General features: G+C 47.7%; 2 protein-coding genes across 13 annotated transcripts in view, besides 6 other annotated features; one reads left to right on the forward strand and one right to left on the reverse strand.

Moving 5' to 3' along the window:
• Positions 1-49: part of an enhancer, noted in NCBI's record as "active region_6542", that runs on past the window's edge. NCBI's record gives its function as "activates an Ori minimal core promoter by ATAC-STARR-seq in GM12878 lymphoblastoid cells {active_cell/tissue: GM12878}" and the evidence as "EXISTENCE:reporter gene assay evidence [ECO:0000049][PMID:35858748]".
• The window catches only part of ARHGAP9 (Rho GTPase activating protein 9), a 16,556-nt gene extending 7,962 nt beyond the window's left edge, over positions 1-8,594 (reverse strand). For 5 of the 10 annotated variants that reach the window (XM_047429331.1, XM_047429334.1, XM_047429329.1 and 2 more), the window contains exons 1-2: positions 8,382-8,594; positions 548-604 (exon numbers count right to left, since the gene is read on the reverse strand). Coding sequence is in view for 4 of the 10 variants with exons in the window: in XM_047429334.1 (XP_047285290.1) it covers positions 548-604; positions 8,382-8,391 (67 nt within the window). In the remaining 6 variants the exon portion in view is untranslated. Of the gene's footprint in view, positions 1-547; positions 605-3,664; positions 3,734-8,381 lie in introns of those variants that run through there. The other 5 variants (XM_047429330.1, XM_011538659.3, XM_011538656.3 and 2 more) reach the window with 3 other exon arrangements.
• Positions 6,815-7,762: an enhancer, noted in NCBI's record as "NANOG-H3K27ac-H3K4me1 hESC enhancer chr12:57880828-57881775 (GRCh37/hg19 assembly coordinates)". NCBI's record gives its function as "activates a minimal SCP1, AML or CMV promoter by ChIP-STARR-seq in naive H9 embryonic stem cells {active_cell/tissue: H9 hESC(naive)}" and the evidence as "EXISTENCE:reporter gene assay evidence [ECO:0000049][PMID:30033119]".
• Positions 6,815-8,709: a biological region, named in NCBI's record as "NANOG-H3K27ac-H3K4me1 hESC enhancers GRCh37_chr12:57880828-57881775 and GRCh37_chr12:57881776-57882722".
• Positions 7,576-7,965: an enhancer, noted in NCBI's record as "active region_6543". NCBI's record gives its function as "activates an Ori minimal core promoter by ATAC-STARR-seq in GM12878 lymphoblastoid cells {active_cell/tissue: GM12878}" and the evidence as "EXISTENCE:reporter gene assay evidence [ECO:0000049][PMID:35858748]".
• Positions 7,763-8,709: an enhancer, noted in NCBI's record as "NANOG-H3K27ac-H3K4me1 hESC enhancer chr12:57881776-57882722 (GRCh37/hg19 assembly coordinates)". NCBI's record gives its function as "activates a minimal SCP1, AML or CMV promoter by ChIP-STARR-seq in naive H9 embryonic stem cells {active_cell/tissue: H9 hESC(naive)}" and the evidence as "EXISTENCE:reporter gene assay evidence [ECO:0000049][PMID:30033119]".
• Positions 7,838-24,803, forward strand: part of MARS1 (methionyl-tRNA synthetase 1) — a 28,585-nt gene continuing 11,619 nt past the window's right edge. For 2 of the 3 annotated variants that reach the window (NM_004990.4, XM_047428852.1), the window contains exons 1-11: positions 7,838-7,969; positions 8,789-8,879; positions 9,037-9,115; positions 9,194-9,328; positions 9,666-9,741; positions 9,977-10,149; positions 10,308-10,414; positions 17,927-18,043; positions 18,190-18,393; positions 20,091-20,292; positions 23,995-24,069. In NM_004990.4, the coding sequence (NP_004981.2) occupies positions 7,861-7,969; positions 8,789-8,879; positions 9,037-9,115; positions 9,194-9,328; positions 9,666-9,741; positions 9,977-10,149; positions 10,308-10,414; positions 17,927-18,043; positions 18,190-18,393; positions 20,091-20,292; positions 23,995-24,069 (1,368 nt within the window). In that variant the 5' untranslated portion in view covers positions 7,838-7,860. Of the gene's footprint in view, positions 7,970-8,788; positions 8,880-9,036; positions 9,116-9,193; positions 9,329-9,665; positions 9,742-9,976; positions 10,150-10,307; positions 10,415-17,926; positions 18,044-18,189; positions 18,394-20,090; positions 20,293-23,994; positions 24,070-24,803 lie in introns of those variants that run through there. The other variant, XM_047428851.1, reaches the window with a different exon arrangement.
• Positions 16,556-16,850: a silencer, noted in NCBI's record as "tiled region #11633; K562 Repressive non-DNase unmatched - State 17:Gen3'". NCBI's record gives its function as "represses a minimal TATA promoter and a strong SV40 promoter by Sharpr-MPRA in K562 cells {active_cell/tissue: K562}" and the evidence as "EXISTENCE:reporter gene assay evidence [ECO:0000049][PMID:27701403]".

Genomic DNA, 24,803 nt, shown 5'->3' on the forward strand with positions numbered 1-24,803 from the left:
GAGTGTGATGGCGAGATCTCGGGTCACTGCAACTTCCGCCCCCCGGGTTCAAGTGATTCTCCTGTCTCAGTCCCCCGAGTAGCTGGGATTACAGGTGCCTGTCACCACACCTGGCTAGTTTTTTTATTTTTAGTAGAGACAGGGTTTCACCATGTTGGCCAGGCTGGTCTAGAACTCCTGACCTCAGGTGATTCACCCGCCTCAGCCTCCCAAAGTGCTGGGATTACAGGTGTGAGCCACTGCGCCCGGCCTCATTTATGCTTTTATCAAGGATTGATTGAGTGCCTCCTGCGTGCAAGGAGCAGTGTCAGGCACTGGAGATGAGAGAAGGGAATGAGCCCTTTTGGAGCTTAAGGAGAGACAGACCTTAACTAATGACACAATAAACTTAATAATTACAATTGAATCAGGAACAATGGACAAGTAATGCAAGACGCTATGACAGGTAGATAGGGGACTGATGCCAGCTTCTCCTTGGTGGAAGGTGGGAAGTGACCTTCCCTGGATTACCAGCACTTTAAAACCCACACTTCTGCTTCTGCCTTACCTGGCCACTCCTCTTTTCCTCTTCTCTCAGCTTCTCCACTGCACAATGTGAGGCTTTCTGTTTGGGTTTGGAGAGGTGGGTTAAGGAGCGAATGACCCTCCCCACTGGTGATATCAGAGAGCCAGCTCTCTTCCCCTGAGGGCTGGGTGGCTAGTACTGGGCTTCTGCCTCAGTGATCTTCCTAGTTTACTTCACTTCAACACATGGAGAATCCTACCCCTCAACTCTTCCTTCCCACTTCCAAAATAGTGACTAATTTCACCCATTTATTCACTTATTTATTCATTTGGTGTTCAGTGCTTGAATCCACCCTTTTTTTGCCTTCTCTGAAACTCTCTCTCCTATACTTTAGCTTGTTTTTGTTAGCTTCGTCGCATTCACTTTTAAACATATCCAAGTCTCTCCCATCTTTAGACAAACCTCCCCTTACTGGGCTTTCCAGGTACCACCATATATATGTCTCTCTCTCTTTCTTCTTCTCTTTTTTTTTTGAGACAGAGTCTTGCACTGTTGCCTGGGCTGGAGTGCGGTGGCACAATCTCTGCTCACTGCAACCTCCGCTTTCCAGGTTTAAGTGATTCTCCTGCCTCAGCCTCCTAAGTAGCTGGGATTAGAGGCGCCTGCCACTATGCCCGCTATTTTTTTTTGTATTTTTAGTACAGACAGGGTTTCACTATGTTGGCCAGGCTGGTCTCGAACTCCTGACCTCGTGATCTGCCCACCTCAGCCTCCCAAAGTGCTGGGATTACAGGCGTAAGCCACCGAGTCCAGCCTCTCTCTTTCTTTTTACAGTCGAACTTCTTGAGTTGCCTACACTGTAGAGGGGATCTCCATTTCCTGTCCCCTCACTCCGCCACCTTTTCAAAGTCACTCCTCAATAGAGTCACCCCCGACCTTGCCTGAGCATCCTGCAGTCCTTATGCAATCCTTATGTTGCTTGACATCTCAGTAGCAGGCAACACAATTGACCTTTCTCTCCTACAAACACTCTGCTGGTATCCCTCTTACCTTTCTGGCAGTTCCTTGTCTGTGGCATGAGAAATGACCTTCCTCTGCCTGTTCCTTAAACCACAGAAGCCTATCTGAGATCCTGTGCCCTGTGCTTTCTGCATACCCTCCCTGGGTGGTCTTATTCTCTCCCCAGCTCAAATGATTTCCATGTGCTGCTAAGGACTGTATCTCAAGTCCAGATCTTTCTCTGGGGCTCCCATCTAATCCACTGTCCACCAGAAAATCCACTTGAGTATTTCACAGGTACGACAAACTCAGTATGAACCAAACTGAACTTATCACAAACCTGTTTCTCTCCCAATACCACTATTTAGTTTAATATGAAATCAATAAATATTGGCCTGGTACAGTAGCTCACACCTATAATCCCAGCACTTTGGGAGGCCAAGGCAGAATATCACTTGAGCCTAGGAGCTTGAGGTGCAACATAGTGAGATCCTGCCTCTACAAAAAAAATTTTTTTTTTTTTTGAGTCGGAGTCTTGCTCTGTCGCCCAGACTGGAGTGCAGTGGCGTGATCTCGGCTCACTGCAACCTCCGCCTCCCAGGTTCATGCCATTCTCCTGCCTCATTCTCCTGAGCAGCTGGGACTACAGGTGCCCGCCACCATGTCCAGCTAATTTTTTGTATTTTTAATACAGACGGGGTTTCACTGTGTTAGCCAGGATGGTCTCGGTCTCCTGACCTCGTGATCCACCCGCCTCGGCCTCCCAAAGTCCTGGGATTACAGGCGTGAGCCACCGCGCCTGGCCAAAAATTTTTTTTAGTTAGCCAGGTATGGCAGTGTGTGCCTTGTAGTCCCAGCTGCTCGGGAGGCTGAGGTGGGAGTATCTATTGAACCTGGGAAGTTGAGGCTGCAGTGATGCGTGATAGTGCTACTGCACTCCAGCCTAGGCGACAGAGTGAGACCCTGTCTCAAAATAAATAAATAAAATAATTTAATAAATATTTATTGAATGTTTACTACCATATATGCCGGGCAGGAACTATGTGCTAGGCATTGTCAATTAAGATGGTAAATATGGGGCCGGGTGCAGTGGCTCACATCCAGCTCAATCCCAGCACTTTGGGAGGCTGAGGCAGGCAGATCACCTGAGGTCAGGAGTTCAAGACCAGCCTGGCCAATGTGGTGAAACCCCCATCTCTAATAAAAATACAAAAATCAGCTGGGCATGGCGGCAGGTGTCTGTACTCCCAGCTACTTGGGAGGCTGGGGTAGGAGAATTGCTTGAACCCAGGAGACGGAGGTTGCAGTGAGCTAAGATCATGCCACTGCGCTCCAGCCTGGGTGACGGAGCGAGACTCTGTCTTAAAACAAAACAAAAAAATATGATCCCTGCCCACTCATAACAATGAAAATATGATGTAATAATGATCACTATGATAGAGGAAATACTATCATCTGTTGTAGCACATAGAAAGTATGCCCTATTTCCCATGCCAGAAACCTAGCAGCCAACCTGAATTTATCTTGTTTCCTCGCCACCCACATTGATTCAATTGATTACTGAACACTTCAATTTATATTTTCCCAATCTACCTACTTTTTATCCCCACAACTACCACTCCTTTAGCCTGGATGATATAATTTCCTAACTAGTCTCATTGCATATAGTTCTCATTGCATATAGTTCTGCTCCCCTTCCAACCATTCCTGACACAGCAGCCAGAGTGACCTTTCTAAAACACATATGCCCTGCTACTCTCCTGACTTAGACTTTCCACATTTTATAATGTCATTTACAGATTCCCTCTCTACACTTTTCACAGTCTCCACCACAAACTCCACACTGCAGTCTTATGCGAATTCCTCACATTCTTAAAGTGCACTGAAATCTTAGATTCTTTGCATATGTTGTTTCCTTTGCCTGAAACACGTCCCTTCTCCACTCCCTCCAGTCTTCACCTAGATAACTCTTACGCATCACTGAGATCTCAGCTGAAAGATTACATGCACAGGAAAGCATCTCAGCCAGGCGTGATGGCTCACACCTGTAAACCCAACACCTTGGGAGGCTGAGGCGGGTGGATCACTTGAGGTCAGGAGTTTGAGACCAGCCTGGGCAACATGGTAAAACCCCATCCCTACTAAAAATACAAAACTTACCTGGGTGTGCTGGCCCAGCTACTGTAGTCCCAGCTACTTGGGAGCCTGAGGCACAAGAATCACTTGAACCTGGGAGGCAGAGATTGCACTGAGCTGAGATCATGCCACTGCACTCCAGCCTAGGTGACAGAGCAAGACCCTGTCTCAAAAAAAAAAAAAAAAAAAAAAAAAAATAAGGCCGGGTGCGGTGGCTCACACCTGTAATCCCAGCGCTTTGGGAAGCCGAAGCAGGCGAATCACAAGGTCAGGAGTTCGAGATCAGCCTGGCCAACATGGTGAAACCCTGTCTCTACTAAAAATACAAAAAATTAGCTGGGCATGGTGGTGGGCGCCTGTAATCCCAGCTACTTGGGAGGCTGAGGCAGGAGAATCGCTTGAACCCGGGAGGTGGAGGTTGCAGTGAGCCAAGATTGCGCCATTGCACTCCAGCCTGGGCGACAGTGTGAGACTCTGTCTCAAAAAAAAAAAAAAGCATCTTTTCACCCATTAGAGGGGCCCTAACTAGGAGGTACGATGGCAGGCTTTGCCTCCTCTATCATAACTTTAATCACACTTTAAGGATTATTTGATTTTCTGACTTTCAGGAAGTCTGTGAGTGCTGCCAAGGTAGCAGAAGCCCACATCCATTTTGTTGATAACTGTACCTTCAATGCCTTCTACAGTCACTTCTACAGTGATTTCTGGCATAAAGTCATAACTTTATGCCTCAGTTCCCTCATTAGTAAAATGGCGATGAGAGACCTACCTCAGTTTGTTTGTTTATTTATTTTAGACAGAGTCTCGTTCTGTTGCCAGCCTGGAGTACAGTGGTGCGATCCCGGCTCACTGCAACCTCTGCCTCCCAAGTTCAAGCAATTCTCCTGCCTCAGCCTCCCAAGTAGCTGGGATTACAGGCATGCGCCACCATGCCCAGCTAATTTTTGTATTTTTTAGTAGAGACAGGGTTTCACTATGTTGGCCAGGATGGTCTCGAACTCCTGACCTCAGGTGATCCGCCTGCCTCGGCCTCCCAAAGTGCTAGGATTATAGGTGTGAGCCACTGCGCCCAGCGTATTTATTTATTTTTTTTGAGACAGAGTCTGGCTCTGTCGTCCAGGCTGGAGTGCAATGGCACGATCTCAGCTCACTGCAACCTCTGCCTCCCGGGTTCAAGTGATTCTCCTGCCTCAGCATCCTAAGTAGCTGGGATTACAGGCATGCACCACCACACCCCGCCAATTTTTTGTATTTTTAGTAGAGACTGGGTTTCATCATGTTGGCCAGGTTGGTTTCGAACTCCTGACCTCAGGTGATTTGTCCACCTCGGCCTCCCAAAGTGCTAGGATTACAGGCATGAACCACCACGCCCAGCCTCTTGGCTAGTTTTAAAAACTATTTTTGGCCAGGAGCAGTGGCTCATGCCTGTAATCCCAGCGCTTTGGGAGGCCAAGGCAGGTGTATCACCTGAGTTCAGGAGTTTGAGACCAGCCTGGCCAACATGATGAAACCCCGTCTTTACTAAAAATACAAAAATTAGCCGGGCATGGTGGCAGGTGTCTGTAATCCCGGCTACTAGGGAGGCTGAGGCAGGAGAATCGCTTGAACCCAGGAGGCGGAGGTTGCAGTGAGCCAAGACCACACCATTGCACTCCAGCCTGGGCAATAAGAGTAAGACTCCATCTGAAAAAAAAAAAAAACAAAAAAACTATTTTTTTTATGTTGGCCAGGCAGTCTTGAATTCCTGGGCTCAAGTGATCCAGCTGCCCAAAGCACAGGGATTACAGGCATAAGTTACTGGGCCTGGCCTAGTTTTTTGTTTGTTTGTTTTGTTGTTGTTAATGTAACAACAGCCATTTTATTATAGTTTAACAATTGTATAGGTATGGAGCAGAAATTTGGGTAGGCCTTAGGTGGGTGATTCTTCTATCTCATGTGGCCTTGAGACCCTACCAAGGGTTACTTAAGAGTTTTCAGTGGGCAGATGGGCTGGTCTGGAAGGCTTCACTCACAAGTCTGGCACCTTGGTAAGGATGACTGGAATGCTGGGATTAGCTGGAGTTGTCAGACAGAATATCTACATGAGACCTCTCTAGCATGGCAGCTCAAAGTGGTAGGATTTCTTACATGGCAGCTCAAAGCTACCAGTGTGCTAGATAGCCTGCAACTGAAGCTGCAAAACTTCTTATGGCCTAGCTTCAAAAGGCCCAGAACCTCCATAGAATTTTCTGAGATCAAATATAAAGTGCTTAAAACAGTGCCTAGCTCATAAGTACTATTAGATATTAATTATTCTTAAAATAATATAAAGATGAATAAGAAGCGTCCCTTTCTCAATAACAGGTATGTGCTTCCTTGCATAATATATACTTATTGCCAAACTCTTAGCCATCTTGAATCTCAATTTTTTTTTTTTTGAGACGAAGTCTTGCTCTATTGTGCAGGCTGGAGTGTAGAGGCACGATCTCGGCTCACTGCAACCTCTGCCTCCTGGGTTCAAGTGATTCTCCTGGCTCAGCCTCCTGAGTAGCTGGGATGACAGGCGTGCACCACCACACCCAGCTAATTTTTGTATTTTCACTAAAGAAGGGGTTTCACCACGTTGGCCAGGCTGGTCCCAAACTCCTGACCTCAAGTCATCTGCTCGCCTCGGCCTCCCAACGTGCTGGGGTTACAGGCGTGAGCCACCGCGCCCGGCCTTACTTCTCAATTTCATCTTTTCCCTAGAGATGTTTGGCCGGGCGCGGCTGCACGCCTGTAATCCCAGCACTTTGGGAGGCTGAGGCGGGCGGATCACGAGGTCGGGGGATCGAGACCATCCTGGCTAACACGGTGAAACCCCGTCTCTACTAAAAATACAAAAAATTAGCCGAGCGTGGTGGCGGGCACCTGTAGTTCCAGCTACTCGGGAGGCTGAGGCAGGAGAATGGCGTGAACCCCGGGGGACGGAGGTTGCAGTGAGCCGAGATCGCGCCACTGCAGTCCAGACTGGGGGGCAGAGCAAGACTCCGTCTCAAAGAAAAAAAAAAAAAAGAGATGCTCTTCTACCCCTTTGATGAGACGTCGAGCTGTATATGAACTCAGACTGGTATTAATATTTTACTTGTCTACATTCTTTTTTTTCGAGACGGAGTTTCCTCTTGTTGCCCAGGCTGGAGTGCAATGGCGCGGTCTCGGCTCACTGCAACCTCCGCTTCCCGGGTTCAGGCGATTTTTTTTGCCTCAGTCTCCCGGGTAGCTGGGATTACAGGCGCCTGCCACCATGCCCAGCTAATTTTGTATTTTTAGTAGAGACGGGGTTTCAGCATGTTGGCCAGGCTGGTCTCGAACTGCTGACCTCAGGTGATCCGCCCGCCTCGACTCCCCAAAGTGCTGGATTACATGCATAAGCCACCGCGCCCGGCCTATGTACATTTTTGTTGTTGTTGTTGATAGGATGGATATGTACACTAACTTCCACTTTGTCACTAATTCCGCACATGGTAACTCCGAACTCTAAAACTCTGACCGTTAAGAGCTTGCATCGAGAGCCACTGCGAGTAGCTGCTGTTATGACATGGCCATTTCATTCTCCACAACAAGAGAAGCAGCCGCGGCTTCAGTCACCGCCCTCCAGCAGCGTAAGAGGATAAAAGTGCGACTTGCCCTAAAACCTAAACGTCTCTTCTGGATCTCCAGAAAAAAAGTGCTGCTCTAGGCCGGGCGCAGTGGCTCACGCCTGTAATCCTAGCACTTTGGCAGGCCGAGGCGGGCGGATCATCTGAGGTGAGGACTTCGAGACCAGCCTAGCCAAAATGGTCAAAGCCCGCCTCTACTAAAAATACAAAAATTAGCCGAGCGTGGTGGCACGTGCCTGTAGTCCCAGCTGCATGGGAGGCTGAGGCCGGAGAATCACTTGAACCCTGGAGGCAGAGGTTGCAGCGAGCCAAGACCGTGCCACTGCACTTCAGCCCAGGTGACAGAGGGAGACGCCCTCTCACAAAAAAAAAAAAAAAAAAAAAAAAGTGCAGTCTAGCCCGCATCTGCGGCCTCTTCATCTCGATGATAGTCTTTTCCTGTGTCTTAGCGTTGCATGATGGGAGAAATAGTCTACTTTCCGGTAGCGGTGCCAGGGCAGTGGCCTAATACGGAACTCCATTTCCCGGCGTGCCTCGCGGAGGCCGCTGAACTCAGAAGCGGGAGGCCGGTTCCGGTTGCATCAGCGAGGGATTCACGGCGAAATGAGACTGTTCGTGAGTGATGGCGTCCCGGGTTGCTTGCCGGTGCTGGCCGCCGCCGGGAGAGCCCGGGGCAGAGCAGAGGTGCTCATCAGCACTGTAGGCCCGGAAGGTACTCGTGCTGGTGCTGGTGGGCGGTGGATGGGGGGGCGGGACCGAAACACGCCAGATTCTCTGCAGCTGTCTTTGCCAAACCCCTAGCCCTCGCCACACACCCCAATCGACCACTTCTCCTATTATCCTTGATCACTCCACGCCTTCTTCCCTCCCAGTCACATCTTTCACTTCCTTTAATTACCCTCAATATAATACCCTTCCCTTATCTCTCTCCTCCCCTCTTCCGTCTTCCCGGTCCCCGCCTCACCCCAGTAAACTGCTCTTCCCTTCCCAACCTTCTCCTACACCTATCAGGCATCCCCCTCTGCTCTTTAGTTACTAGCATGACAGCCCCCAGGCACCCTTTTGTGTTCTTAGGAAATCCCTCTCTCCCCTCCTAACACACACACACGTTCCTTTCTGTTTACCTCTTCTCATTCTCAGCCGATTGTTTGGGTGACTCTTAGGAGGTTCTCTTGTAAGTCTTCTCAGTTCTTTTAATTTTGTTCTCCCACTGTGACCTTCAGATAATTATGAAGATATCCCAGTTACTTTCAGTCGTTAAGTTCTTGGCTGCAGCACTATCCCAATACCACCACCTCCTCTGCAGTCCCCATCTGTTGCTTCCAGCTGGCAGTTTCAGCTGAACACCTGCTGGCCTCTCCAGCCCATTCCGGACCACCCCCTTTCAGTGGTCCTATCCTGGAACTTCTGGGTTGAGACTGCCCATCTTTCTTTTTTTACTCACTGAACAATGCAAGGTTATCCTAAGTTGACAAAGTATTTCTTTTCTTTTCCTTTTTTTTTTTTAACCCATTTTCCATTCTTGCATCAGATTGTGTGGTCCCGTTCCTGACCCGGCCTAAGGTCCCTGTCTTGCAGCTGGATAGCGGCAACTACCTCTTCTCCACTAGTGCAATCTGCCGGTCAGTATTGGTCCTTGGTGTAGGGAGGTGGCTGAATCAAATCAGGCCTCACTGTCATTTGTGTGGCTTTATTTGCAGCCATTGTTTCCCTGTGTGATGAGAAATGGGCTAAATGGGCCCCTCTAAGTCCATCATCTGTTGCTCTCTCTCTGGGCAGATATTTTTTTTTGTTATCTGGCTGGGAGCAAGATGACCTCACTAACCAGTGGCTGGAATGGGAAGCGACAGAGCTGCAGGTAGGACTAAGGTATGGGGGATGTCAGGCAGGCCCTTGTTCTGCGTGGCCATCCTGACTCATGTCCCCTGCATTTTAGCCAGCTTTGTCTGCTGCCCTGTACTATTTAGTGGTCCAAGGCAAGAAGGGGGAAGATGTTCTTGGTTCAGTGCGGAGAGCCCTGACTCACATTGACCACAGCTTGAGTCGTCAGAACTGTCCTTTCCTGGCTGGGGTGAGTTGGGTCTTGAGATGAGGACTGGGGAAGGCTTATGGTGTAAGGATTAAGAGGGAAGACTGTATTCAGAGTGTTCGAACCCAACACTGCCACTTACTAGTAGTGTAATCTTGGCAAATCACTTAATCTCTCTAATCCTCAATTTTTTTCAGTTGTGAAATGGGATAATATTAGTACCTATCTCAGTGAGTTATTGTGAGGATTAAGTGAGATCATATAAAGTGCTTAATACAGTGCTTGACATATAAAGTGCTCAGTAAATGTTAGATATTACCATTGGGAAGAAACTGAGTGTCTCATTTGTGTACATTTTCCTTTTCTATCCCCAACAAAGGAGACAGAATCTCTAGCCGACATTGTTTTGTGGGGAGCCCTATACCCATTACTGCAAGATCCCGCCTACCTCCCTGGTGAGAACTGTGCATATCACTCCAACCCTAGGAGCTTGGTGTAGGGGTTACAGAATGGGCAGTAGAATACTGAGAACTCCCTTCAAGGTACAGCTTGACTGGGCAACTATAGCAGAAGATGGTTGAGGGAACTGGGGAAAGCAACTGGAGAAACCTCACAAAGAAGGGGAAAGATGCCCGCTCCTGCCTACCAGGTCCTTATGTTTGCTGATTTTCTTTTCTTCCATACCCACAGAGGAGCTGAGTGCCCTGCACAGCTGGTTCCAGACACTGAGTACCCAGGAACCATGTCAGCGAGCTGCAGAGACTGTACTGAAACAGCAAGGTGTCCTGGCTCTCCGGCCTTACCTCCAAAAGCAGCCCCAGCCCAGCCCCGCTGAGGGAAGGGCTGTCACCAATGAGCCTGAGGTTTGGAATAGGGCAGAGCCTTGGGGCCTGAGGTGGGAGGTGGCTAGGAGATGGACTTTGAGCATGGCCACTAACTTTTTCAGGTAGTGGCAAGGAGAAAGTTTCTTTACCCTGTGGGCCCTCCTCACCTGGTAAGGGATTCTCTCCACTCTTTATAGGAGGAGGAGCTGGCTACCCTATCTGAGGAGGAGATTGCTATGGCTGTTACTGCTTGGGAGAAGGGCCTAGAAAGTTTGCCCCCGCTGCGGCCCCAGCAGAATCCAGTGTGAGTAGACATGGCACATGTGAGTGGGGCTTGATTTTGTAGTGGAAATTGTTGATAGAGCCAGAACCTGCCTGCTAGGTCCCGTTTGCTGATCTCTCTTTAATTTTTCATCCTCTCCTTTTAATTCTTACATCTCTTTTTTTTTTTTTTTTTTTTTTTACATTTTCTCTTAGCCTATCATTTTGGACACTCCATCTGTCCCATCTGCACCCATGTTTTTCTTGTCTATCCTTTTTTTTTTTTTTTTTTGAGGCGGAGTTTCGCTCTTGTTGCCCAGGCTGGAGTGCATTGGCGCGATCTCAGCTTACTGCAACCTCCGCCTCCCGGGTTCAAGCGAGTCTCCTGCCTTAGCCTCCCAAGTAGCTGGGATTATAGGTGTGCACCACCACGCCTGGCTAATTTTTTGAAGAGACAAGGTTTCACCATGTTGCCCAGACAGGCTGGTCTCGAACTCCTGACCTCAGGTGATCCACCAGCCTTGGCCTCCCAAAGTGCTGGGATTACAGACATGAGCCACTGTGCCGGCCCTGCACCCATGTTTTTCAGCTACTTTTTACCCACCGATAGGAGCTAACTCTATTTTTCCAGTCCAGATCTGTATTCTGAACTCCAGACACATTTGCCATACTATCCTAGACTCCTTCACCTCTACAGGCATCTCAAATTCAACATATCCAAAACCAAACCTGTTACCTTTCCTGCTAAATGCCCTTTTATTTATTCACCTGCCTTTGTTGAACAGCCTCCACCTTCCACCTAAAAATCCAAGCCAGAAATCTTGGTGTTATCTAGACTTCTTCGTTTCTCCCTAGCTGTATTATTCATTCCCTTACCAAGTCGTTGACTCTAACTGTTAAGTAGTCTTTGAATCCACCCCTTCTCCTCTCTGTTGTCACTGTCACTACACAGATACTAACAGACCTTGTCATCTGTTATCCTCTTTCCCTGACACTCTGTACTCCACACTGCCTCCAGAGTGACTGCTTAAAACTGCACAGACTATTATCACTCCTTTTTAGAATTCTATCGATGGTTCCTTTGTGTAATTCACAAGGCCCCTGACTGCAGGCTCAGTAACATATTTTGTCACTCTCCTGCTACACTAAGATAATATTTATACATACGCAGTTTTTTCCGTCAAAATGAAATTATTTACAGTTCTGAGTATGTTTGCCATTCAATAAACATTTGAGTGTTTACTCCTTTCCAGTCCCTGCATGCTAGGAGCTGGGTATACAGAGGGGAACAAGACAGACAGGATCTCCGCTGTCATGGGACTTTCTGTCTGGTAGGATAGACAGGTATTTTAAAAACTGTCACACAAATGTAGAATTACACATTTTGAAAAGTCCAGGCCGGGCGCGGTGGCTCATGCCTGTAATCCTAGCACTTTGGGAGGCTGAGGTGGGTGGATCATTTGAGTCAGGAGTTCAAGACCAGCCTGGCCAACATGGTGAAACCCTGCCTCTACTAAAAATACAAAAATTAGCCGGGCATTGTGGCGGGCACTTGTAGTCCCAGCTACTCGGGAAGGTGAGGCAGGAGAATCGCTTGAACCTGGGAGGCGGAGGTTGCAGTGCGCCAAGATCATGCCACTGCACTCCAGCCTGGGAGACAGAGCAAGACTGTCTCAAAAAAAAAAAAAAAAAGTCCAATGAAGGAAAAGAAGAGGTTGCTATGCGAGGAAATATCAGAGGTGACTAATTTAGAGGCCTCTCTAAAACATTGAGTGAAGACTTAAAACGGCCAGGTGCGGTGGCTCATGCCTGTAATCCTAGCACTTTGGGAGGCCAAGGCGGCAGATCACCTGAGATCAGCAGTTCGAGACCAGCCTGGCCAACATAGCAAAACCCTGTCTCTATCTAAATACACAAAAATTAGCTGGGCACGGTGGCTCGTGCCTGTAATCCCTGCTACTCAGGAGGCTGAGGCAGGAGAATCGCTTGAACCCGGGAGGCGGAGTTTGCAGTGAGCGGAGATTGCGCCAGTGTACTCCAGCCTGGGCAACAGAGCGCGACTCCATTTCACACACACACACACACACACACACACACACACACACACACACACAGACGTAAACAAATTTGAGACTTGCAAGATTAAGTAGGGGCTAGTTAGGCAAGAGTAAGAGTGGAGAGAGGGTGTTTCAGAGAGAGGAAATCTAATATGCAAAGACCTGAGAAGCAAGAGAGTTTGCCTCTTAAGGAATTCCTAAAAGGACAGTGGCAGCAGGCTGGTCAGTCGGGGGCACATGGGTCAAAATGAGTTTTGAGAGGCAGGTGGGGCTGGCATCATACCATTGTCTCTCACCTCTGTGCCTTTATGCATACTGTTCCTTCTCCCTGGAATGCCAGCATCTTACCTGCCTGATGCACAACTCTTCTTGCAGAGAGGAGTTCTGCCTTTTCCTTCTCTATAGAGTGTGAGACAGTCTTAAGTGCTTCAATTTCTGGGAGGTCCCATTGTCATATTATGTTGTAATTGTCACATTACATGTTTGTTTCTTCACTAATTTGTAAGCTCATTGAAGGTAGAGGTGTCTCTTTTATGGGGCTCAGTTGCTAGCACAGGGCCAAATGTTCTGTAGATATTGATAACATTTGAATGAATTTATGAAAGTCCATCCTTGTTGTTTTGCTTGTTTTGAGTATATATATATAATATATATTATATAATATATTATATATAATATATGTTATATAATATATATTATATGATATGTATAATATATATTATATAATATATTATATATAATATATGTTATATAATATATTATATGATATGTATAATATATTACATAATATATAATATATTATAATATATAATATATAATATATAATATATAATATATTATAATATATAATATATAATATATAATATATTATAATATATAATATATTATAATATATAATATATAATATATTATAATATATAATATATAATATATTATAATATATAATATATAATATATTATAATATATATTATATATAATTAATATATAATATACAATATATATTATATATTATATATATTATATATAATATATATTATATATTATAATATATTATATATTATATATTATATTATATAATATATATTATATACATTATATTATATATATTATATATAATATATATTATATATTATATATTATATTATATAATGTATATTATATATATTATATTATATATTATAATATATAATATATATATTTATATTATATAATATATATAATATATAATATATATTTATGTTATATAATATATATAATATATATAATATATATTATATATTATATATATATTTTTTAATTTTAATTTTTTTTTTTTAGACAGAGTTTCGCCTTGTCATCCAGTCTGGAGTGCAGTGGCGTGATCTCAGCTCACTGTAACCTCCGCCTCCCAGGTTCAAGTGATTCTCCTGTCTCAGTCTCCCGAGTAGCTGGGATTACAGGTGCACACCACCATGCCCAGCTAATTTTTGTATTTTTGGTAGAGACAAGGTTTCACCATGTTGGCCAGGCTGGTCTCAAACTCCTGACCTCAGGGGATCCACCTGCCTCGGCCTCCCAAAGTGTTTGGATTACAGGCGTAAGCCACTACGCCCAGCCTTGTTTTGAGTATATCTTGAGCATATATTGTGGATTCAGTTTAATACTAAGCACTTACTTCTTCTTTTTTTTCTTTTTTTTTTTTTTTTTGAGATGGAGTCTCACACTGTCGTCCAGGCTGGAGTGCAATGGCATGATCTTGGCTCACTGCAACCTCTGCCTCCCGGGTTCAAGTGATTCTCCTGTCTCAGCCTCCTGAGTAGCTGGGATTACAGGTGCCTGCCACCACGCCTGGCTAATTTTTTTTTTTTTTTTTTTTTTTTTAGTATTTATTGATCATTATTGGGTGTTTCTCGGAGAGGGGGATTTGGCAGGGTCATAGGACAATAGTGGAGGGAAGGTCAGCAGATAAACATGTGAACAAGGGTCTCTGGTTTTCCTAGGCAGAGGACCCTGCAGCCTTCCGCAGTGTTTGTGTCCCTGGGTACTTGAGATTAGGGAGTGGTGATGACTCTTAACGAGCATGCTGCCTTCAAGCATCTGCTTAACAAAGCACATCTTGCACCGCCCTTAATCCATTTAACCCTGAGTGGACACAGCACATGTTTCAGAGAGCGCAGGGTTGGGGGTAAGGTCATAGATCAACAGCATCCCAAGGCAGAAGAATTTTTCTTAGTACAGAACAAAATGGAGTCTCCTATGTCTACTTCTTTCCACACAGACACAGTAACAATCTGATCTCTCTTTCTTTTCCCCACATTTCCCCCTTTTCTATTCTACAAATCCACCATTGTCATCATGGCCCGTTCTCAGTGAGCTGCTGGGTACACCTCCCAGATGGGGTGGCGGCCGGGCAGAGGGGCTCCTCACTTCCCAGACAGGGCGGCCGGGCAGAGGTGCCCCCCCACCTCCCGGGCTGGGTGGCGGCCAGGCGGAGGCGCCCCCCACCTCCCGGATGGGGTGGCTGCCGGGCGGGGGCTGCCCCCCACCTCCCGGATGGGGCGGCTGGCCAGGCGGGCGCTGCCCCCCACCTTCCTCCCGGACGGGGCGGCTGGCGGGGCGGGGGCTGCCCCCCACCTCCTGGATGGGGCGGCTGCCGGGCGGACACGCTCCTCACCTCCCGGATGGGGTGGCGGTCGGGCAGAGACACTCCTCAGATCCCAGACGGGGTCGCGGCCGGGCAGAGGCGCTCCTCACATCTCAGACGGGGCGGCGGGGCAGAGGCGCTCCCCACATCTCAGACCATGGGCGGCCAGGCAGAGACGCTTCTCACTTCCTAGACAGGTTGACGGCGGGGAAGAGGCGCTCCTCACTTCCCAGACTGGGCGGCCAGGCAGAGGGGCTCCTCACATCCCAGACGATGGGCAGCCAGGCTGAGACGCTCCTCACTTCCCAGACGGGGTGGCGGCCGGGCAGAGGCTGCAATCTTGGCACTTTGGGAGGCCAAGGCAGGCAGCTGGGAGGTGGAGGTTGTAGCGAGCCGAGATCACGCCACTGCACTCCAGCCTGGGCAACATTGAGCACTGAGTGAGCGAGACTCCGTCTGCAATCCCAGCACCTCAGGAGGCCCAGGCGGGCAGATCACTCGCGGTCAGGAGCTGGAGACCAGCCCGGCCAACACGGCGAAACCCCGTCTCCACCAAAAAATACAAAAACCAGTCAGGTGTGGCGGCGCGCGCCTGCAATCCCAGGCACTGGGCAGGCTGAGGCAGGAGAATCAGGCAGGGAGGTTGCAGTGAGCCGAGATGGCGGCAGTACAGTCCGGCCTCGGCTCGGCATCAGAGGGAGACCGTGGAAAGTGGGAGACCGTGGAAAGTCGGAGACAGGGAGAGGGAGCAATTTTTTGTATTTTTAGTAGAGACGGGGTTTCACTATGTTGGCTAGGCTGGTCTTGAACTGACCTCATGATCCACTTGTCTCGGCCTCCCAAAGTGCTGGGATTACAGGCATGAGCCACTGCACCCGGCAATATAAGCACTTTCTTTTTTTTTTTTTTGAAACTGAGTCTCACTAGGATGGAGTGAGTGGCGCAATCTAGGCTCACGGCAACCTCTGCCTCCTGGGTTCAAGTGATTCTCCTGTCTCAGCCCCCCGAGTAGCTGGGATTACAAGCACGCACCACCAGGCCCGGCTAATTTTTGTACTTTTTTAGTAGAGACGGGGTTTTACCATGTTGGCCAGGCTGGTCTTGAGCTCCGACCTCGTGATCCGCCTGCCTGAGCCTCCCAAAGTGCTGGGATTACAGGCGTGAGCCACTGCATCCGGCCAATACTAAGCACTTTCAAGGCTCATATAGAATAGGAAGTACTGCCGTGGCTCATGCCTGAAATCCCAGCACTTTGGGAGGTTGAGGCGGGAGGATCACTTGAGCCCAGGAGTTCGAGACCAGTCCTGTCAACATAGACTGCATCTCTACAAAAAAAATTTAAAAATTATCCAGGCACGGTGATGCCTGCCTGAAGTTCCAGCTACCTGGGAGGCTGAGATGGAAGGATCATTTTGAGCCCAGGAGTTCAAGATTACAGTGTGCTGTGTTGTGCCACTGCCCTCCTGCCTAGGTGACAGAGGGAGACCCTGTCTCCAAAAAAAAAAAAAAAGGGAGATAACCTTTCTCAGGCATGTATACAGGCAAATACATTTAAATGCATAAGTGGAGGAGGAGACAGTTGGCATTGAAGATCCTATGGGCAGACTAAGCTGTGTTGGGCTAGAGTGCTTGCCTTCCTTTGATCTCCTTTGACACTTTGCACCTCTTCATTACACTGATCCCAGTCAGCAGTTACATAATAGAATGTAATACCCTTGGGAGCAGAACCTAGGGCATATTTGCCTCTATACTTGCCACAGCAGTAAGCACACTCATTCTGAGAGATAAGTGACAGGGTAACACAAAAGGAGCACTACTCAATATGGTACAAAGTGGTTAGGGGGTTGGGATACAAAAAAGACTGTGTGGGAAGATGGCCATCAGTGAAGGAAGGTTTTCTTGGAGGAGGTGATTTCTAAGCTGGATTTCAGAGAAAGTTACGATATTCAGTTATGGAGAGAAAGGGTGATGGATGCACAAGAAATTAGTGAGATGCGTTTTATGGAAATAAGCTGTAAATGTTCTAGGAAGTAGTTGGGCCATCTATTGGGATATATAGCAGCAGCTGGGAAGAAGGGTTGAGGTTAATGTGAGGGAATCGGGGAGGCAGTGACTGTAGGCTAAGAATGGTTGGAAAGATGATAGGAGCCTTAGTGTAGTGTCAGTGCTAAAGAGGGGATGTTGATACAGGATGTGTACAGCTCAGATGTCAAGGATGATGAAACTTGAAAAGGAATACTGCATTGAGTGCCTTCAGACAGCAGGTTGAATGGCATGACCAGCAACGATCTAGAAAAGTGGGAAGGAGAGGGTGACGGTGAAGGCAAAACTGGTGCCTGCTGGTTTGAGTTAGGCCATGAGGAAGTGACAGACATGGGTTAGAGAGTCGGTACAAAAGGACTTGTTACGGGTCGTATCTAGGCTGGTGAGCTCTTTGGATTTCAGATAGTGGCTAGAGATTATAGTAACATAGCACCTGGAAAGAAGGGGAGAAGCCAGCGCTGGGAAAGTGTTCTTGGGAGTGGTGAGAGGGTAATGATTGGACAGAGCCTAGGGAGAGTTTGAGCCTGAGAATGAGGTAATAGAAAACAAGCAGTCATGACAGTAAAAGGGACAGAAATTGGTGTTGAACAAGGCTCCTTCATAGCAGTACAGGAGACTTCCTCACTGTGGCAGTGCCCTGTATTTGCATCTCTGGGGATCTTAGAGTGCCTCGGGAAGCTGTGGTCCTGTGGGTTTGTGTGCAGAAAGACTTCAAGTGTACATGAACACATGACAGTAGAACAAATCTGTGTCCGGGTGTTCTGTGCACTTTTCGTCCCTGTTGACCCTCACATCCCCCCATGCACTGTTCTCTTCCTCTTTCCTTACTAGGTTGCCTGTGGCTGGAGAAAGGAATGTGCTCATCACCAGTGCCCTCCCTTACGTCAACAATGTCCCCCACCTTGGGAACATCATTGGTTGTGTGCTCAGTGCCGATGTCTTTGCCAGGTGGAGCCAGCTGCTCGGGGAGAGACCTCCTAAGGGAAGGGCGGGTCCCAGGGGAATAGGATGCTTCAAGGGTGGGGCTGGGGAGATCCCAAGGACAAGGAAGCGCTGAAGCGGGGCCCCCTAGCGATCACCATATTCCCTTGCAGGTACTCTCGCCTCCGCCAGTGGAACACCCTCTATCTGTGTGGGACAGATGAGTATGGTACAGCAACAGAGACCAAGGCTCTGGAGGAGGGACTAACCCCCCAGGAGATCTGCGACAAGTACCACATCATCCATGCTGACATCTACCGCTGGTTTAACATTTCGTTTGATATTTTTGGTCGCACCACCACTCCACAGCAGACCAAGTAAGTTTCCTCTAATGAGGCAGAAATGGGGCTTGAAGGCTGAGACTGGGAACAGTGGGAGTATCTTGGAGACAGAAGGAACCCGGGTGGCTGTCTGGGCACTCCTAAACTTAGGATCTCAATATCACCCTGGGCAGTTATCCAGGCATTTTTGAGGGAAGATGGTGTGTGTAGAAGCCTGACCAGGAGCTGAAGGAGCAGCTGAGGGAGGGCAGAGACCAGACGCAGGCTGATGGGAAATATCTATCTTCCCTCTAGTGCCTCCCTTCCTCTCTGTGTCCTGAAGTCTAAGACACTTCTTCCCACTCCTGTATGCATTTATAACACATAAACTCATTCTTCCTCTGCCTAATACTCATCCTTATAAAAACTTTGCATAGCCGGGTGCAGTGGCTCATACCTGTAATCCCAGCACTTTGGGAGGCCGAGGCGGGCGGCTCACCGGAGGTCAGGAGTTCAAGACCAGCCTGACCAACATGGAGAAACCCCATCTCTACTAAAAATACAAAAATTAGTTGGGCGTGGTTGTGGGTGCCTGTAATCCCAGCTACTTGGGAAGCTGAGGCAGAAGAATCTCTTGAACCCAGGAGGCGGAGGTTGTGGTGAGCCAAGATCATGCCATTGTACTCCAGCCTGGGCAACAAGAGCAAAACTCTGTCTCAAAAAAAAAAAAAAAAAAAAAAAGGCTGGGGCTGGGCGCGGTGGCTCACACCTGTAATCCCAGCACTTTGGGAGGCCGAGGCGGGCGGATCACGAGGTCAGGAGATCGAGACTATCCTGGCTAACCCAGTGAAACCCTGTCTCTACTAAAAATACAAAAAAAAAAAAAAATTAACCAGGCGTGGTGGTGGGCGCCTGTAGTCCCAGCTACTCTGGAGGCTGAGGCAGGAGAATGGCATGAACCCGGGAGGCAGAGCTTACAGTGAGCTGAGATAGTGCCACTGCACTTCAGACTTGGTGACGGAGTGAGACTGTCTCAAAAAAAAAAAAAAAAGGGCTGGGCGCAGTGGCTCACGCCTGTAATCTCAGCACTTTGAGAGGCCGAGGTGGGTGGATCACGAGGTCAGGAGTTCAAGACCAGCTTGGCCAACATGGTGAAACCCCATCTCTACTAAGAATACAAAAATTAGCTGGACCTGGTGGTGGGCACCTATAATCCCAGCTACTTGGGAGGCTGAGGCAGAGAATTGCTTGAACCCGGGAGGCTGAGGCAGGCAGTGAGCTGAGATCGCACCACTGCACTCCAGCCTGGGCGACAGAGCGAGACTCTGTCTCAAAACAAACAAAAAAACCCCCAAAACTTTACATAGTAGACAGGCCGCCAACTGATAGTGCTATGCAGTTTAGTTTAGCACTTGGACTGACTTAATTTTTAGGATATATTAAAGAACAGGCACAGTCCTATCCTATTGGAGATTTTTGTTAATGAAAAATACAAAACAGATAAATCTGTGTTCAACAAAAGTGAATTCTAAAGTGTTGAGGGGAAAGATTATGTGGGCAGTTGGGGAATATGTGTGATGGGTCTGAGCTCATCCAGTAAAACTCTCAAAAGATGAATAGATGCCCTTTTCCTTGAGGAGCCTTCTGCCTGATTTCTTTGTCACTGAGTTTGGGTCCCTGGTTGGAGTGGCAGGAGGAAGGGGTCCACCACGTCTTCTGACTGTCTCTTCCTGATCCCTGGCCCACCTCACCAGAATCACCCAGGACATTTTCCAGCAGTTGCTGAAACGAGGTTTTGTGCTGCAAGATACTGTGGAGCAACTGCGATGTGAGCACTGTGCTCGCTTCCTGGCTGACCGCTTCGTGGAGGGCGTGTGTCCCTTCTGTGGCTATGAGGAGGCTCGGGGTGACCAGTGTGACAAGTGTGGCAAGCTCATCAATGCTGTCGAGCTTAAGGTAAGAGGAGGGTCTCCATGGGAGCCCGGAAGGAGACAGTCCTTATTCTTAAGGGACGCCCTTCCTGTCCCATTTAGGATTTTTATTTTAGCATTCTAGACCTTTAACCAGTGGCCCTTTCTGCCCCATCTCAGCAACTCGTCATTTAGTTCATTTGAAAAATACTCCCTGAGCACTTACTATGTGCTGAGCACTGTGCTAAGAAACAGACAAGTTGAGTTTATATTTCCCAACCTTTGGTCTTGCATCACACCACCTGATCTACATTTGTTTAGATCCTTCTCTCTTCTTTAAATATCTTCTCTTCTAGCCATTTGTTAATTTATTTCTTCATTCATTTATTCAACATACATTTTTTGAATCCTTAGAATAGGCCAATTACAATTCTGCGTGCTGGGGGTATGGCAATGAATAAGACAGATTTTATTTAGTATGGTCAGGAGACCAACACTAACTAAGGAAATGATATAGAATAAACTGCCAGGAAAATGTGACAGAGAGTGACTTCTGGGGGAAGATCTAACTTAGGTAGATAGGGAAGGCCTTTCAGAGGCAGTAACATTTGAACTGAGAGTTTAACCAAAGAATTAGGAGCAAGCCAGGCAATAAGAGGTTAAGAATGTTCTAAGCGGAAGGACTAGGAAATGCAAAGGCCATGAGGCAGCTAAGAGCTGAAAAGGCAGAATTGGCAAGGCCAGTATAGCACTAGCACAGTGAGTGAGGAGGAGGGTAGACTGAGATGAGGTGAGAGAGATGGCAGGGGCCAGATCACCAGGGCCTGTGAAGCCATTGTGGGAATTTAGATTTTATTCTGGTGAATGACAAGCTGCTCTGTGGAAAATGGATGGCAGGGAAGCAAGAAATAAAGTATGTTGAAGGGGCTGGGCATTGGTGGCTCATACCTATAATCCCAGCACTTTGGGAGGCCAAGCTGGGTGGATCACTTGAAGCCACGAGTTTGAGACCAGCCTGGCCTGTAACATGGCAACCCTGTCTCTACTGAAAATACAGAAATGGCTAGGTGCGGTGGCTCACGCCTGTAATCCCAGCACTTTGGGAGGCTGAGGTGGGCAGATCACTTGAGGTCAGGAGTTTGAGACCAGCCTGGCCAACATGGTGAAACCCTGTCTCTACTAAAAAAATACAAAAATTAGCTGGGTGTGGTGGCGGACCCCTGTAATCCCCGCTTCTTGGGAGGCTGAAGCTTGAGAATCACTTGAACCTGGGAGGCAGAGGTTGCAGTGAGCTGAGATTGCGCCACTGCATTCCAGCCTGGGTTACAAAGTAAGACTCTGTCTAAAAAAAAAAAAAAACCACAAAAATTATCCAGGCCGTGGTGGCGCACACCTGTAATCCCAGCTACTTGGGAGGCTGAGGCAGAAGAATTTCTTGAACCTGGGAAGCGGAGGTTGCAGTGAGCCAAGATTGCCACTGCATTCCAGCCTGGGTGACAGAGCAAGACTGTTCCCCCTCCACCAAAAAAAAAAGTATGGAGAAGGATTTGGAGGCAACAAGGCTACAACCCAGAAATGGGATAATGGTGGCTTGCACTAGGTTAGTAGCACTAGAAATGGAAAAGAAAAAATAGACTTGAGGTATATTTTTGGAGGTAAACTCCACGGAGTTGGATAGACTGGAATTTGGGATGGTCAGGAAAAAGATGCCTTGTAAGTTTTTGGCCTGAGTAGATGGTAGTACCATCTGTGAACGTGAGTGAGGAGAACAGGCTTTCAGGTGGGATGCAGCCATACTGTTTGGGTTTGTTAAGCTTGAGATGCCTGTTAGATAGCCAGGCAGAGAAGTCAGGTAGACAGTTGGATATTAGGCATATGGAGTTCAGGAGAGAGGTCCTGAGGAATTATAATTTCTCACCTTCAAAAACTCAGATCAAAACTCACTTGGGGCCAGGTGTGGTGGCTCACGCTTGTAATCCCAGGACTTTGGGAAGCTGAGGCGGCCGGATCACCTGAGGTCAGGAGTTCAGACCAGTCTGACCAACATGGCGAAACCCCGCCTCTACTAAAAATACAAAAATTAGCTGAGTGTGGTGGTGCGTGCCTGTAATCCCAGCTACCAGGGAGGCTGAGGCAGGATAATCTCTTGAACCTGGGAGGTGGAGGTTTCAGTGAGCTGAGATTACGCTACTGCACTCCAGCCTGGGCGACAGAGCGAGATTTTGTCTCAAAAAAAAAAAAAAAAAGCAACAACAACAAAAAAAAAACAAGCCAGGCACGGTGGCTCACGCCTGTAGTCCGCGCACTTTGGGAGGCTGAGGCGGGCAGATCACGAGATCAGGAGTTTGAGACCAGCCTAAACAACATGGTGAAACTCCATCTCTACTAAAAATACAAAAATAAGCCGGGCGCGGTGGCACGTGCCTATAATCCCAGCTACTCAGGAGGCCGAGGCTGGAGAATCGCTTGAACCCGGGAGGTGGAGGTTGTAGTGAGCCAAGACTGCACCACTGCACTCCAGTCTGGGCAACAGAGTGAGACTTCGTCTCAAAAACAACAACAACAACAACAACAACAAAACTCTACTACAAAGCCCTCTCTGAAAGATGGAAAAAAGAGCAACAACAAAAAACTCGAAAGTTTTCATTCATTAGCTCCACCTAACTGTTCACTCCATTAGCCATCACCCTTCCATGTTTATATAGTCAGTTTATGCCACACAAATAAATTTATTTTGTAAAGATCTGCACTTGTTTCTTTTTTTTTTTTTTTTTGAGATGGAGTTTTGCTCTTGTTGCCCGGGCTGGAGTGCAATGGCGCGATCTCAGCTCAGTGCAATCTCCACCACCCAGGTTCAAGTGATTCTCCTGCCTCAGCCTCCTGAGTAACTGGGATTACAGGCACGCACTACCAAACCCGGCTAATTTTGTATTTTTAGTAGAGACGAGGTTTCACCATGCTGGCCAGGCTGGATTTGAACTCCTGACCTCAGGTGTTCCACCTGCCTCAGCCTCCCAAAGTGTTGGGATTATAGGCGTGAGCCACGGTGCTCAGCCACATTTGTGTCTTTTTCCTTTTTTTTTTTTTTGAGACAGAGTCTGCTCTGTCAGCAGCCTGGCGTGCGGTGGCATGATCTTGGCTCACTGCAACCTCTGCCTCTCAGGTTCAAGCAATTCTGCCTCAGCCTCCCAAGTAGCTGGGACTACAGGTGCACGCCACCATGCCCAGCTAATTTTTGTATTTTTAGTAGATACGGGGTTTCACTATGTTGGCCAGGATGGTCTCAATCTCTTGACCTCATGATCCGCCTGCCTCGGCCTCCCAAAATGCTGGAATTACAGGCGTGAGCCACCGCGCCCGGCCCACACTTGTTTCTTATATAAGCCATCTCTCCCTGACTTGTAGCTTCCTCAAAGAGAGGGGCTATGTCTTCACTTCATCACTCCTTCCTCCCCTCACACAGCCAAGTACAGTGCAGTGCTCTGTACCTAGCCTATGTTCAGAGAATGTTTTTTTTACTCTGGTGTGATGGGACAGAGATCTGAAACTCTGAGAACAAATGGAGTTATACTGAGAAGATTTGAGTCTCCATGTTTAGAGTAGGCCACATAGTAGAGTTATTGGAGTGTGAGCCTGAAGCTAAACTAGATGGCAGACTGAGGAGCTAATCCTTCTCTGCTCCTCCCCTTGCCTGGACCCCTCCCCTGGCCTGCAGGCCTGATCTGTCCTCTGGAATTTTCCTTCGCAGAAGCCTCAGTGTAAAGTCTGCCGATCATGCCCTGTGGTGCAGTCGAGCCAGCACCTGTTTCTGGACCTGCCTAAGGTAAGTGAGCTTTTCTCTCAACCTAGTTTTCAGGAGGCCTCTTCTGTCCCCTCTGCCTTAGCCACAAATACTGAGAGCAGATTACTCTTAAAAGTTTTAAATTTCCATTAAGAATTGTACATACTATTGTCAAGAGATGAAATAGATTAAAGGGCACAAAGTGAAAGCCCCAGGCCCACTTGCGAGAGGTATTTACTACTTTTTCCTTTGTGTCTATTCAGAAATGTCATATGCATATAAAAGTATTTTTATGTCTCTCTTTTTTTTTAAGGGATAGCTTCTCACTCTGTCACCTAAGCTGGAATGCAGTGGCATGATCATAGCTCACTGCAGCCTTGATATCCTAGGACCAAGCAATCCTCTCACCTCAGCCTCCCAAGTACCATGCCTGACTGATTTTTTTTTTTTTTTTTTTTTTTTTGAGACAGAGTTTCGCTCTTGTCGCCCAGGCTGGTGTGCAATGGCGCACTCTTGGCTCACTGCAACCTTCGCCTCCTGGGTTCAAGTGATTCTCCTGCGTCAGCCTCCAGAATAGCTGGGATTACAGGCGTCTGCCACCATGCCCGGCTAATTTTTGTATTTTTAGTAGAGACAGGGTTTTGCCATGTTGACCAGGCTGGTCTCGAACTCCTGACCTCAGATGATCTGCCTGGCTCAGCCTCCCAAAGTGCTGGGATTACAGGTGTGAGCCACCGCACTGGGCCACCTGACTAATTTTTAAAATGCTTTTGTAG

The sequence above is a fragment of the Homo sapiens genome, chromosome 12, assembly GCF_000001405.40.
Source record: "Homo sapiens chromosome 12, GRCh38.p14 Primary Assembly".
NCBI lineage: Eukaryota > Metazoa > Chordata > Mammalia > Primates > Hominidae > Homo > Homo sapiens.